General features: G+C 38.5%; 1 protein-coding gene across 9 annotated transcripts in view; it reads left to right on the forward strand.

Annotated features, from left to right (window-relative positions):
• WDFY2 (WD repeat and FYVE domain containing 2) overlaps positions 1 to 16,101 on the forward strand; it is a 183,248-nt gene that overhangs the window by 120,330 nt on the left and 46,817 nt on the right. For all 9 annotated transcript variants that reach the window (XR_007063659.1, XR_941483.2, NM_052950.4 and 6 more), the window contains one exon: positions 14,407 to 14,557. Coding sequence is in view for 7 of the 9 variants with exons in the window: in NM_052950.4 (NP_443182.1) it covers positions 14,407 to 14,557 (151 nt within the window). In the remaining 2 variants the exon portion in view is untranslated. The remainder of the gene's footprint in view (positions 1 to 14,406; positions 14,558 to 16,101) is intronic.

Here is a 16,101-nt window from a genome sequence, read left to right on the forward strand (position 1 = left end):
ATACATTACTTAAAAAAATTTTTTTAATTGGCTTGGTCACATATTTGGGATATCATATGGTACCTTTAAGACCATTTGAAAATATGATACCCTGTGGTAGGTAACCTTTAAGATGGTTCCTAATGATCATTGCCTCCTGGAATTTACCCTGTACCTCCAGTGTGGGCTAGACCTAGAATATGGCAAGTGATGGATATCACTTCTGAGATTAGGTTACAAAGATACCAAAACTTCCACCTTGTTTGCCCACTCTGTGCTTTTGTGTGCTTGCTCTGATGAAAGCCAGCTGCCATGTTGTGAGCTGCCCTGTGGAGAAGCCCACGTGCTGAGGAACTGAGGGAGGCCTTGTCAACAGCCAGTAAGGGACTGACACCCTAGTTTAATAGCCCACAAGGAACTGAATCCAGCCAGTACTATGTAAGAGAGTTCGGAAGCAGATTCTCCCCATCAAGGTTTCAGATGAGACTACAGTTCCATTCCACACCTTGATTCCATCCTGTGAGAGACTTTTTGACAGAGGCATGCAGCTAAACTGCACCAATACTTCAGACTCTGAGATAATTAACATTTACTGTTTTAAGGCACTAAGTTTTGGGGTAATCTGTTACACAGCAATAGGTAACTAATACATCCATGTAATCTGATAAGTACAAAATTATATTTCCCTTCTCTCTTTTCCTGAGCACTGTTCTTATATAGGGTGAATTTCTGGCAGCCATGTGGAGCAATCAACTCAAGCTCCTCCACAGTTCTCACTTGAATTGTTTGTTTTTTTCTTTGTTTTTTTTTTTAATTTTTAATTTTTATGGGTAGATAGTAGGTATATATATTTGTGGGGTATATGTGACATTTTGATAGAGGCATGAAATACACAATAATCACGTAAGGGTAGATGGGGTATCTGTCGCCTCAAGTATTTATCCTTCATGTCACCAACAATCCAATTATACTCTTTTAGTTATTTTAAAATGTATTGAGTTATTTTAAAGCTATATCTTCAGTACTTTTGAAGCTGTTTCTTGTTTTTATTTTTGTTTTTAGCCTAAATGCTGGACTTTACATCCTGTTATTCACAATCTCATTTTATTTAGCCCATCACCTCAGCTTACCAAGATATTTAGAAATCCCAGTTGTCATTAAATATATTAATTTCTGACTAATTTTGTGTTTTTCTTAAATGTATAAGCATAACATGCCATTTCCTATGTCTTTGTTAAAATAATGTTTGGCCTCACAGGTATAAGTATAATGAGCATATCACTAGAAACTTCTCTTCATATGCCATTATTCTTTGAGTCTCTTAATATTTCATATAAGTTCATTTTATCTACAGAGGATTACAAAAAATTGATAACTAGAGTACTATGGAAACCTATTCTCCACAAATTCCTGGAGATAATGATAAAGTGACACTTCGTGTTGTTTTTGTCATTCTTCTTAATACAATACTAGGCTCATGGGAGATACAAATAAAAAAATTTCTATGAGCCAGAACCAAAGAGAGAACTAAAACTCAGAGTGATACACATATAATCTGTCATTGCAGCTGTCTTGGGGAGATGGAGAACCAGTAAGAGATAGATACTTGTGTATGAACATGCACTTGGGGACAAGAAATAAGGCCTAGGGCCTGAGTGAGATGAAAAATTGGAACTGAGATTTCCATAAAAGGCTGAATCTCATAAAGGACTGTACCCCCATAAAAAGAGGAACAAGACTTTCCACTAATTGGCCCTGAAGACTACAAGGAAATTTATTCCTGACCCCAACTCTGGATAGAGGATGGAATTTTACCTCGATAAATCAAAACCTGAACTGAAAACTTTTGAGTTTGGAATATAAATTTTAACCAGTTATAACATGCTGGAACTCCATGTTAAGAAATTAACATAAAGTTGGTCCTTGGCCCATAAGACCCCACGGTTACTTGCTAGAAATCAATGCAAGCTCTTTTCAGTTAGACGAATTTCACAAAGGCCCTACAACAAAAACAAGCACTGCTTAAGATGAATTCTTCATTTTTTTTAAATTGTAAAACTAACAAGCAATCAATCCACCATGAGTAAATATTAGCAGATATCACAAACGGGATGATTGGAGTACCAAGAATCTTAGATAATGATCAACAAAGCAAAAGAAGCCATAACATAATATGTTAAATGATTGAAGAAAAAAGTTTCAGGAACAACAAGGAAATAAAACGATTATGGAAAAAACAGGAAGATTTTTAAGAGAACCAAATAGAACTTTTAGATAGGAAAATATAGTCATTGAAATAAAAAATCAGTGGGTAGAATATTAGACACAGACAGATTAGTGGAGTGGCAGATGGATTTGATGTCTATGGAACAACATTTTTAAAGTTCTTTTTTTGGGGGGCAGCAGGGAGACAGGGTCTCAATCAGTTGCCCAGGCTAGAGTGCAGTGGTGTGATCTCAACTCACTGCAACCTCTGGCTCCTGGGCTCAAGCAGTCCTCCTGCCTCACCTCCCAAGTAGCTGGGACTACAGGCGTATGCCACCACACCTGGCTAAGTTTTATGTTTTTTGTAGAGATGAGGTTTTGCCATGTTGCCCAGGCTGGTCTCGAACTCCTAAGCTCAAGCAATCCACCAACCTTGGCCTCCCAAAGTACTGTGATTACAGGCAAGAACCACTGTGCCAGCACATTTTTAAAGTTCTAAAAGAAGAAAAAACTTCCAACATAGAATTATATACCCAGAGAAAGTATCTTTCAAAAACTTAAGTAAAATAAGCATTTTTTTGGACACACAAAAACAGAAAGAATTCATCATTCATAGACCTTCACTAAATGAAATGTTAAAGGAAGTCCTTCAGGGAAAAAGAAAGTGATGCCAAAAGAAACTATGTGTCTACTCAAAAGAAAGAACAGTATTAAAAATGGGAACTGAAAGGTTTTTTTCATATGTTGTATGAATCTCTTTAAAAGACAATTGACTTTAAGTAAAGACAAAGTAGCAAGGGGTTAATAATATATGTAAATTAAAATGTGCAACAATAACACAAAGATCAGGAGAAATGGAAGTATACTATTGTAGGTTCTAGAATGCTATACACAAAGAGGTATAATAGCACTTGGGGAAAGACCATGGTAAGTTAAAGATATATACTATTAACCCTAAAACAACTTTTTTTTTTTTTTTTTTTTTTTTTTTTTTTTGGAGACTGAGTCTTGCTCTGTCACCCAGGCTGGAGTGAAGTGGCACAAACAATTGTGGGCACACCCCAGGTTCAAGTAGTTCTCCTGCCTCAGCCTCCCAACTAGCTGGGATTACAGGCACCCGCCACCACACCCAGCTAATATTTGCGATCCACCTGCCTTGGCTTCCCAAAGTGCTGGGATTACAGGCGTGAGCCACCACTCCTGGCCCAAAGCAACTATTAAAATAACAAATTGAGGACCAGGGACAGCAGCTGACAGCTGTGATCCTAGCACTTTGGGAAGCTGAGGTGGAGGATCCTTTCAGCCCAGGAGTTTGAGACCAGCCTGGGCAACACAGCAAGACCCCATCTCTAAAAAAAAAAAAAAAATACCAATTAGCCTGTAGTCTCAGCTACTAGGGAGGCTAAGGTGGGAGGGTTGCTTCAATCCAGGGGTTTGAAGTTACAGTGAGCTGTGCCTGCACCATTGTACTCTACCCTGGGTAACAGAGCAAGACCCTGTCTCTAAATAATAGAATAAAATAAAAATAAACAGCAAATCAAAAAATGACAGCTAATAGGCAAACCAAGGAGATAAAGTAGAATCATATAGTAATTCCCAATTAATTAAAAAAAAAAAGCAGACTAAGAGGAAAAAAGGGGTAAAGAACGGGTGGAAAAATATAAAACAACACAGTAATAGATGTAAACCTCACAATGTCAGTAATCACATTAAAAATAAATGATCTAAAGGCAATTAAAAGGCAGTTAGTATCAGACTGAGTGAAAGGTGAGACCCAAGTATAAACTATAAGAAGTGTGTTTTACATATAAAGACACCAATAGCTTAAAAGTAAAAGGAAGGAAGATGATATACAATGAGAATACTAGTCAAAAGAAAACTGGAGTGACTTTTTAAATATATCAAAGTAGATTTCAGAGCAAAGAACATTACCAGGGATAAAGAAGGTATCATGAGGGCCAGTCTGCCAGAAGACCATAACACTCGTAAATGTTTATGCATCTAATAACATGGTTTTGAAATATGTGACCCCAAAACTGATGAAACTTTAGGGAGAAATAGATACAAGTTATAGATAGAAATTTTAATATTTTCAATAATTTATTGAAGATATTAATTGATAGAATAAGTAGGCAGAGAATCAGTAAAGTACAGCAGACTTGAACAAAACAGTCAACAAACTTGCTCTCATTGACATCTGTAGAACATTCTATCCAACTAAAGTTTGTTTTATTTATACATTATTTTCAAGTACGTGGAGAAATATTTATCAAGACAGACAATATTCTAGGCCATAAAATAAATCTCAGTAAATTTGGAAGGATTTAAGTCATGCAAAGTATGTTCTCTGATCAAAATGGAATTGAAGTAGGAATTAATAACAGAAAAATCTCTGGGACAGGTGCAGTGGTTCACACCTGTTAACCCAATGCTTCCGGAGGTGGGAGGATCACTTGGGATCAGGAGTTGAAGCCTGGGGAACATAGCAAGATGCTGTTTCTATTTAAAAAATTGAAAAATTGATCTTTTTTGAAAAGATCAACAAAATTGATAGACCACTAGCAAAACTAATAAAGAGGAAAAGAGAGAAGAATCAAATAGATGCAATAAAAAATGATAAAGGGGATATCACCACCGATCCCACAGAAATACAAACTACCATCAGAGAATACTATCAACACCTCTATGCAAATAAACTAGAAAATCTAGAAGAAATGGATACATTCCTGGACACATACACCCTCCCAAGACTAAACTAGGAAGAAGTTGAATCCCTGAATAGACCAATAACAGGTTCTGAAACTGAGGCAATAATTAATAGGCTACCAACCAAAAAAAGTCCAGGACCAGACGGATTCACAGCCGAATTCTACCAGAGATACAAAGAGGAGCTGGTACCATTCCTTCTGAAACTATTCCAATCAATAGAAAAAGAGGGAATCCTCCCCAATTCATTTTATGAGGCCAGCATCATCCTGATACCAAAGCCTGGCAGAGACACAACAAAAAAAAAGAGAATTTTAGACCAATATCCCTGATGAACATCAGTGCAAAAATCCTCAATAAAATACTGGCAAACCGAATCCAGCAGCATATCAAAAAGCTTATCCACCACGATCAAGTAGGCTTCATCCCTGGGATGCAAGGCTGGTTCAACATACGCAAATCAATAAACGTAATCCATCATATAAACAGAACCAAAGACAAAACCCACATGATTATCTCAATAGATGCAGAAAAGGCCTTTGACAAAATTCAGTAGCCCTTCATGCTAAAAACTCTCAATAAACTAGGTATTGATGGGACGTATCTCAAAATAATAAGAGCTATTTATGACAAACCCACAGCCAATATCATACTGAATGGGCAAAAACTGGAAGCATTCCCTTTGAAAACTGGCACAAGACAGGGATGCCCTCTCTCACCACTCCTATTCAACATAGTGTTGGAAGTTCTGGCCAGGGCAATGAGGCAGGAGAAGCAAATAAAGAGTATTCAATTAGGAAAAGAGGAAGTCAAATTGTCTGTGTTTGCGGATGACATGATTGTGTATCTAGAAAACCCCATTGTCTCAGCCCAAAATCTCCTTAAGCTGATAAGCAACTTCAGCAAAGTCTCAGGATACAAAATAAATGTGCAAAAATCACAAGCATTCCTATACACCAATAACAGACAAACAGAGAGCCAAATCATAAGTGAACTCCCATTCACAATTCCTTCAAAGAGAATAAAATACCTAGGAATCCAACTTACAAGGGATGTGAAGGACCTCTTCAAGGAGAACTACAAACCACTGCTCAACGAAATAAAAGAGGACACAAACAAATGGAAAAACATTCCATGCTCATGGGTAGGAAGAATCAATATCATGAAAATGGCCATACTGCCCAGGGTAATTTATATATTCAATGCCATCTCCATCAAGCTACCAATGACTTTCTTCACAGAATTGGAAAAAACTACTTTAAAGTTCATATGGAACCAAAAAAGAGCCCGCATTGCCAAGACAATCCTAAGCCAAAAGAACAAAGCTGGAGGCATCACGCTACCTGACTTCAAACTATACTACAAGGCTACAGTAACCAAAACAGCATGGTACTGGTACCAAAACAGAGGTGTAGATCAATGGAATAGAATAGAGCCCTCGGAAATAATACCACACATCCACAACCATCTGATCTTTGACAAACCTGACAAAAACAAGAAATGGGGAAAGGATTCCCTATTTACCAAATGGTGCTGGGAAAACTGGCTAGCCATATGTAGAAAACTGAAACTGGATCCGTTCCTTACACCTTATACAAAAATTAATTCAACATGGATTAAAGACTTAAACGTTAGACCTAAAACCATAAAAACCCTAGAAGAAAACCTAGGCATTACCATTCAGGACATAGGCATGGGCAAGGACTTCATGTCTAAAACACCAAAAGCAATGGCAACAAAAGCCAAAATTGACAAATGGGATCTAATTAAACTAAAGAGCTTCTGCACAGCAAAAGAAACTACCATCAGAGTGAACAGGCAACCTACAGAATGGGAGAAGATTTTTACAATCTACCCATCTGACAAAGGGCTAATACCCAGAATCTACAAAGAACTTAAACAAAATTTACAAGAAAAAATCAAACAACCCCATCAAAAAGTGGGCAAAGGATATAAACAGACATTTCTCAAAAGAAGACATTTATGCAGCCAACAGACACATGAAAAAATGTTCATCATCACTGGTCATCAGAGAAATGCAAAACAAAATCACAATAAGATACATCTCACACCAGTTAGAATGGCGATCATTAAAAAGTCAGGAAACAACAGGTGCTGGAGAGGATGTGGAGAAATAGGAACACTTTTACACTGTTGGTGGGACTGTAAACTAGTTCAACCATTGTGGAAGACAGTGTGGCGATTCCTCAAGGATCTAGAACTAGAAATACCATTTGACCCAGCCATTACATTACTGGTTATATACCCAAAGGTTTATAAATCATCCTGCTATAAAGACACATGTACACGTATGTTTATTGTGGCACTATTCACAATAGCAAATACCAAAGATTTGGAACCAACCCAAATGTCCATCAATGATAGACTGGATTAAGAAAATATGGCACATATACACCATGGAATACTATGCAGCCATAAAACAGGATGAGTTCATGTCCTTTGTAGGGACATGGATGAAGCTGGAAACCATCATTCTGAGCAAACTATTGCAAGGACAGAAAACCAAGCACCGTATCTTCTCACTCATAGGTGGGAATTGAACAATGAGAACACTTGGACACAGGTTGAGGAACATCACACGCTGGGGCCTATCGTGGTGTGGGGGGAGCGGGGAGGGATAACATTAGGAGAAATAATGTAAATGACGAGTTAATGGGTGCAGCACACCAACATGGCACAAGTATACATATGTAACAAATCTGCACATTGTGCACATGTACCCTAGAACTTAAAATATAATAATAAAAAAAATGAAAACACAATATACCAGAATTTATGGTATGATGCCATAGCAGTATTTAAGGAGAAATTTACAGAACTAAACATCTATATTAGAAAACAAGAAGGGACTCATTAACAGTGACTTTGACTTCCACCTTAGAATACCAGAGAAAGAAGAGTCTCCTAAGCAGAAAAAAGGAGAGATCAGTAGAAGTTCATGAAATAGAAAACAGAAAATAGAGAAAAATCAATGAAATCCAAAAGCTAGTGTTTTGATAAGCTCAATAAAATTGATAAATCTTTAGCCAGAGTTAACAGGGAAAAAAAAAAAGAGAAAATGCAAATTATCAATATCAGGAATGAGTGAAGTGACATTACTACAGAGTCTAGGTATATTTAAAGGATAATATGTAATATTATGAACAACTTTATACTAATAAATTTGAAAACTGAAATTTTAAAAATCTTTGAAAAATACAAATTGTGAAAGATTACTAAAAAAGACATAGATAATCCTAATAGTTCTGTATCTACTAATGAAATTGAATTTAATGTATAGTTAAAACCTTCCCACAAAGAAAGCTCCAGGCCCACATGCCTTTACTGGTGAATTTTATGAAAAATTCAAGGAAGAGGCAATGCAAGCTTTACACAGACTCTTTCAGAAGTTGCAGAAGTGAAAGACTTTCCAGCCCATTCTATTAGATCAACATTACCTCTTGTCAAAACTAGACCAAAATGATACAAGTAAAGAAAACTATAGGCCATCATTCTTTATGATAATGGGTACAAAAAACTAAACAAAATTTCAGTGGATAAAATCCAGCAATATGTAAAAAAGATAATACATCATGATCAAGTGAAGTTTATCTCAGTAATACAGTGTCGGATTAACATTCAAAATTAAATTAGCGGTGTATGCCCAGAAGAAATGAAAGCAGAGGCTCAAGCAGATATATGTACACCCATGTTCATAGCAGCATTGTTTACAATAGCCCAAAGGTGGAGGCAACCTAAATGCCCATCAACACATGAATGAATAAATAAGTTTGGTGTATACATACAGTGGAATATTATTCAACCTTAAAAGGGTAGGAAGTTCTGACACATGCAAATGAACCTTGAAGACATATGCTAAGTGAAATAAGCCAATCAAGAAAAGGACAAGGCCAGGCGTAGTGGCTCACGCCTGTAATCCCGGCACTTCAGGAGGCCAAGGCGGGTGGATCACCTGAGGCCAGAAGTTCAAGACCAGCCTCTACTAAAATATAAAAATTAGCCTGCGTGGTGGTGTGCGCCTGTAATCCCAGCTGCTTGGGAGGCTGATGCAAGGGAATTGCTTGAACCCAGGAGGTGGAGGTTGCAGTGAGCTGAGATTGCACCACTGCATTCCAGCCTGGGTGACAGAGCAAGATTCCATCTCAAAAAAAAAAAAAAAAAAAAGGAGAAATACTGAAGGATTCCCCTTATATATGAGATACTTATGGTAATCAAATTCATAGAGACAGAAAGGCAAATGGTGATTACCAAGGCCCAGGAGAGGGGGAAATGGCGAGTTAGTGGGTAAAGAGTTTCAGTTTGGGAAGGTGAGAAAGTTCTAGAGAGTGAAAGGTGGTGATGGTTATACAACAGTGTGAATGTACTTAATGCCACAGAACTGTATACTTCAGTTGTAAATTTTTTGTTATGTATATTTTAATACAGTAAAAAATTAAAAGATAACATATGTGGATTACTTAGTGAAGTATCTGAAACATAGTTTAATGGTCCAATAAATATTAATTCCTTTCAAAAAAAAAAAAGGAAAGCAGTGTTGACAAGGATGTGGAGAAATTGGAACCCTCTTTTTGTTTTTGTTTTTTTGTTTTGTTTTGTTTTGTTTTTTGATAGAGAGTTTCGTTCTTGTCGCCCAGGCTGGAGTGCAGTGGTGTGATCTTGGCTCACCGCAACCTCTGCCTCTTGGGTTCAAGTGATTCTCCTGCCTCAGCCTCCCAAGTAGCTGGAATTACAGGCGCTTGCCACCATGCCCGGCTAATTTTTGTATGTTTTAGTAGAGATGGGGTTTCACCATGTTGGCCAGGCTAGTCTTGAACTCCTGACCTTAGGTGATCCACCTGCCTCGGCCTCCCAAATTGCTGGGATTACAGGTGTGAGCCACTGCACCCAGGCCTGGAACCCTCTTAACAGTGTTGGTGGGAATGTAAAATGTAGCCACTTTGAAAAACAGTTTGGTAGTTCCTCAAAGAGTTAAATATAAAGTTACGTTGTGACACAGCATTTTCACTCCTAGTTATGTACCCAACAGAACTGAAGGCATATATAGTCATGTGTTGCTTAATGACAGTGACACATTCTGAGAAATGCATTGTTAGGCGATTTCAGTGTTGTGTGAATGTGAGAGAATGTACTTACACACCTAGATGGGATTGCTTACTACATGCCTGGGCTAGAGGGTATAGCCTGTTGCTCCCTAGGCTTGCACACCTGTACAGTGTGTTACTGTTATGAATACTGTAGGCAGTTGTAGCACAATGGTATTTGTTACAATAAACATATCTAAAAATAGAAAAGGTACAGTAAAAATTTGCTGCAAAAGATTTAAAAAATGTTATGGTATGCCTGGATAGGGCACTTACCATGAATGGAGCTTGCAGAACTGGAAATTGCTCTGGGTGAGTCAGTGAGTGAGTAGTGAGTGAATGTGAAGGCCTTGGACATTACTGTACACTACTGTAGACTTCATAAACACTGTACACTTAGGCTATTAAAAATATTTTTTCAATAATAAACCTAGTGTACTCTATTTTTACTTTATAAACTTTTTAATTTTTTCAGCTTTTCAACTTTTTTGTAATAACAGCTTAAAACACAAACACAACTGTACAAAATATTTTTTCTTCATACCTTTATTCTCTAGGTTTTTTGGTTTTTTAAATTTTTAATATTTTTGTTTTACTTTTTAAACATTTTTGTTAAAAACTAAGACACAAACACACGCATTAGCCTAGGCCTACTTAGGGTCAGGATCATCAGTATCACTGTCTTCCATCTCCACAGCTCGTCCCACTGGAAGGTCTTCGGGGCCATAACACCCATGGACCTGTCACCTCCTATCATAACAATGCCTTCCTCTGGATACTTCCTGCAGGACCTGCATGAGGCTGTTTTACAGTTTACAGTTAACATTTTAAAATATATATATAAATAGAAGGAGTACACTCTAAAATACTGATTTTAAAAGCATAGTATAGTAAATACATAAACCAGTAACATGGGTCATTTAGTATCATTATCAAGTAACATTATTGTAGGTGCTGTACTTTAAATGACTGGCAGCACAGTGGGTTTGTTTTCACCAGCATCACCACAGACAGGTGAGTAATGCATTGTGCTAGAACAGCCACGCCCTTTCAGCCCCATTATAATCTTATGGTGCCACAGTTTCCATCACTGACTGAAGCATCGTTATGTGGAGCATGACAGTATTCACACAAAAACTCATATGTACCTCTTCATAACAACGTTATTCATAATGGCCAAAAAAATGGAAATAACCTCAATGTCCATCAGTGATGAATGGATAAACAAAATGTGATATATATATATACAGTGAGTTATTTAGCCATTTAGTAATGAAGTACATGCTACAAAATGGTTGAACCTTGGAAACTTATGCTAAGAGAAAAAAGCCGCACACAAAAGGCCATGTATTGTATGATTACATTTATATGAAGTGTCAGGAATAGGAGGGAATTCACAGAGAAAGATAATAGATTAGTGTTTTCCGAGGATGAGGGAAGTGGGAGTTGGGAATATAGAGTTTCATTTTGGGATGATGGAAATGTTCTGGAAATAGATAATAGTGATGATGCACAACATTGTGAGTAACTAATAAACAGTGAATTATACACTATAAAATGTTTAAAGTGGTGAATTTTGTGTTATGTGAATTTTATCTCAATACAAAATTTTAAAAATCAACAAGTGGGCCGGGCGCGGTGGCTCACGCCTGTAATCCCAGCACTTTGGGAGGCCGAGGCGGGCGGATCACGAGGTCAGGAGATCGAGACCATCCCGGCTAAAACGGTGAAACCCCGTCTCTACTAAAAATACAAAAAAATTAGCCGGGCGTAGTGGCGGGCGCCTGTAGTCCCAGCTACTTGGGAGGCTGAGGCAGGAGAATGGCGTGAACCCGGGAGGCGGAGCTTGCAGTGAGCCGAGATCCCGCCACTGCACTCCAGCCTGGGCGACAGAGCGAGACTCCGTCTCAAAAAAAAAAAAAAAAAAAATCAACAAGTGATCCCAAAACCAAAGGCACTACAAGAAAGAAAACTGCAGACCAATATCTCTCATGAAAAAAAAAAAAAAAACTAGCAAATTGACCCCAACCATATATTAAAAAGAATTACACAGCATGACCTAGTGGGATTTATTCCAGATAGGCAAAGCAGGTTCAGCATTCAAAAATCAATGTAATCCATTACGTCAACAGGTTAAAGAAGAAAAATCATGTTATTATATTAATTAATGTGGGAAAGCATTTGGTAAAATCCAGTTCATTACAAAATATTCCCAGCAAACTAGGACTAGAGGGGAGCTTCTTCAATAAAGAAATATCTATGGAAACCCTGCAGCTAACATCATCCTTAATGGTGAGAAAAGAGATGCTTTCCCTCTAAGATCAGGATCAAGGCAAGAAAGATGTCCCCCTCACCACTCCTGTTAAAGAAGTATAGCCAGACATCAAACCCATGTTTTTTCTTATGAATTTCTGAAGCTTAGTGATAAGTTATGTATCTTTGAAATTTTTTTTCAATAAAAGAATCTTTTTCACCTTAAACAGAAGTATGTGATCTGAGTTTTGGGGTTTTTTTTGTTTGTTTTTGTTTTCTGGTAGTCATAGGTAGCCTGACACTGAGAGAGAGAACCAACTTTGACATCAGGGAGAATAGGGTTTTGATTCTTTGTCATTCATTGGTTTTGTAGCTTTGAGCAAGCCACTTAACATTTCTAGCCTCTGCCTCCTCTGGCACAGGAAGGCTGCTCAGAGGACTAAAGCCCCTTATCATCTAGGGCTACTGTCATCCCCTTGGGCTCGAATATGGTAGATAGAAGGCTAAAGGCCCCCTCAGTAAAAAGAGGGGTGAGGTGTTAGGGGCCACTTTCTGCTTGAAATCGACTTGAGTATACTTGAACTCATTAGAGAGTTCACTTTTTATTCCATCACTGATAGAACTTGAATTGAACATTTGACGATAGAGACATAAAAAGATCTTCACGAGTTTCTCCAAGAAGTCACATCTTTTAGTTAAAGCCTGTGTTTTGATCTTGATGGTGACTGGTACTCCGAAAGCAGTTGTGTATTGTAGAGACATCACAGTGTCACTGCTTCCCTATTCCCTTAGATTCTCCAAGCTTCAAATACCAGCTCTTAAAGCATCAGGCATTTGTTGAATGACTGCCCTGTGGCTGTTCATGCTGGTTCTGACTGTATTGTATGGTAGCAATCCCAAAGGGCCATCTTGCTAAGGTTGTATTTGTTGTAAAATGATGAAATCATCCACTTTGCAGGGTCATTACAATGATTAAGCTAGAGAATGTATTTAAGTGCCTGGCACTTGTAAGACATTCAGAAATTGGCAGATGGTATTATTATTGTCAGCAGAGCCGCATTTGTCCATCCATACTGTCTAACTCTGTTTTCATGATCAAAATGTGAAACCAGTGTCTTCTCTGTGACCTCACCACAGTCATGATGAGTGTGTTCATGCCCCATCAGACTGCCAGCCCTTGGGAGCAGGGCCCAGTGAGATCTAGGTTGCAGGATGTCAGTCTTTGTTCATTCCAGTCAGCTGTGTTCAGTGACTGCAGATGCCCTCCACTTTACTGCCTGGAATATAAAATAAGAAGGCAAAAATCCTTCCACCTGATTTCATTTGGTAACTGAGAAGCTGTAAGACCTCAGCCAAACTACTCCACCTCATTGTGCCTCACTTTGTCCATATGTAAAATAGGGAGATGGGTTAACTGATATGAATAGCCTCTTCTAATTCTGGAATTACGTGATGTGATAACTGTGATCATATTGCTCTTGTTTATTAACAACTCTAGGAAATTTGCTCTTATTATCATTCATACACACACACACACACACACACACACACACACACACACACACACTGTAACATAAGGGATACTTCACTTTCTTCTATGTGGTTCTTAGGAATAATTCTGTCCTCCTTTCCATGCATTTAATTTCTGAAAGAAAGTGTTCATCTAGAACTTTTGTATGGCTTTATAAGACAGACTTCATTAAAAGATTAACAGTATGCTCCAGTTTTTTTGTAAGTGCACATAAACTGACGGTAGTGATATTATATGAACATCACTCCTAATGTGTTTTGTGGTCACACTGGATGTGGCTCTCTCCAGTCCAGCAGCCCTAGCGTGTCTGAGGGAGGTGGCCCAGGCCCTTTGGTTACAGGAGCTATGTGTGGCAGTAATCCTTGGGTTGGCACAAGTGGGGCAGGAGGGGGAACATTGGGAAGAGATGGATAGTTTTTTTTTAATCACCCAAAACACTCAGACACGCCTGTTTAAAGGGGAATACCCCCAACCCCCACGAGAACCACTGTTCTACCTTGTCCTTAAAATGGTTCTGCTGTTCAGCTTATTCTGGGGTGGGGAGAAGAGAATGGTGCATCTCTGTGGGCCATGTTCTTCCAACCTCCTTAGGATGCTTTATAGGTTGTTTTCTTTTCTCTTGGTTTTCAGCGCATCAGAGCAGAGTGACGATGATCCTGTTTGTCCTGGAGCTGGAGTGGGTGCTGAGCACAGGACAGGACAAGCAATTTGCCTGGCACTGCTCTGAGAGTGGGCAGCGCCTGGGAGGTTATCGGACCAGTGCTGTGGCCTCAGGCCTGCAGTATCCTTTGCTGGACAAAAATCTCTTAGTGGGAACTTAACTGTTGTTCTCTTTGATTCATGAAATTTTGGGGTATGTGCAGCTTGAAAGTTTTGTTAATGACAGTTGCCCAGTGTGGATTACAATGCTCATAGAATTTCCTGAGGCACAAATCATTGAGTTCCCATGTAAGTAGAGTGAAGTGCGGTCACTTGACCTGAAATAATAGACTGCTGAGCCATTTGTGAGCCTACTGTAACATGAGGTGTGACATCTAGACAGAACACAGTGCAGATTCATGAACCTCAGCTGTCAGAAATAATTATGGTACATGAAGATGAAATCACCAAAATGTAATCTTTGCTCTTTGTACAGAAGTAATTTACACATAGATACCAAAGTTGTGAACATTCCCATTGGTGCCTGGGAGAAGAACCATAGGAATCCTGTTCAGTTTTAAATAGTTATTGAGAGGTTACCATGCCAGGACCAGAGTGGGTGAGCTGGTATCTACATGGTAATGTTAAAAGCTTTGTTCCAGGAATGAGACACTTTCAGATTATATAGAGGGATATTTTTGTCCCCCTGATTGCCAGGGTCCTCATGCTCATGGTGAATCCTTGCTGATGCTGGGTAATGCTCACAGCTGCCCGACTAGGCTCCGGCAAGCACAGTATTGACTAGTGTGTAGCATGTGTGGATGCAGGTACCATTGTAAGGAGTAAACTGGGTTCTTAGTTTAAAAAGCATATGGTCTTTTTATCTTCTGACAAATTGAGAGGTAGGTAGAAACAGGTCACTTGTCAGCAAAAGCAGGAAGAAACAGTAAGTCCTGCTTTCTAATTTCATCTCCATATTTATAAAATGCCTATTCAGTGATTCGCAACATCTGACAAAGTACATTGCAGTTTCTTTGAAACTGTGCGGCATTCAAAGGTATATTTTTATGTATATATATGCTAATATCACTCTTATTTTTCTCACTGGAAGAGCAAGGTGAAGAAACTTAGAATGACCATTGTGGAAAGTTGTAAAAGTAGCAAGTTGCCAAGAAGACCAAAGGCAAGGATGATAAGGAATGGCAGGCAGGATCAGCTCATCTTTGAGAGGGTAGTAGTACTTGTTAATAAAAGAAACTCCAAACTTTACTTTTTAAAAGCCAATTCAGATGAGCATAATACTTAAGTTGAAATACATGAACTCTCTTGCCAATACATAAATGACTTCTTATAGTGTTAGAGCTGGAAGCACTTAGTGTTAGCACTTAGAGATCACCTAGTTCAACCCTCTGTCTTTATCCATTCGGGCTGCTATAATAAATTACTGTAAACTTGGTGTCCTTTAAACAACAGAAATTTATTGCTTACAATTCTGGAGGCTGGGAATTCTAAGATCAAGGCACCAGCAGATTCAGTGTCTGGTGAGGGCACTCGCTTCCTGCTTCGTAGACAACATCTCACTGTGTCCTCACATGGTGAAAGGGCAGAGGAGCTCTCTGTGGCCTTTTTTTTTATAAGGGCACTAATCCCATTCATGAGGATTCATCTACAAACAACATCACACTG

The sequence above is a fragment of the Homo sapiens genome, chromosome 13 (assembly GCF_000001405.40).
Source record: "Homo sapiens chromosome 13, GRCh38.p14 Primary Assembly".
Lineage (NCBI taxonomy): Eukaryota > Metazoa > Chordata > Mammalia > Primates > Hominidae > Homo > Homo sapiens.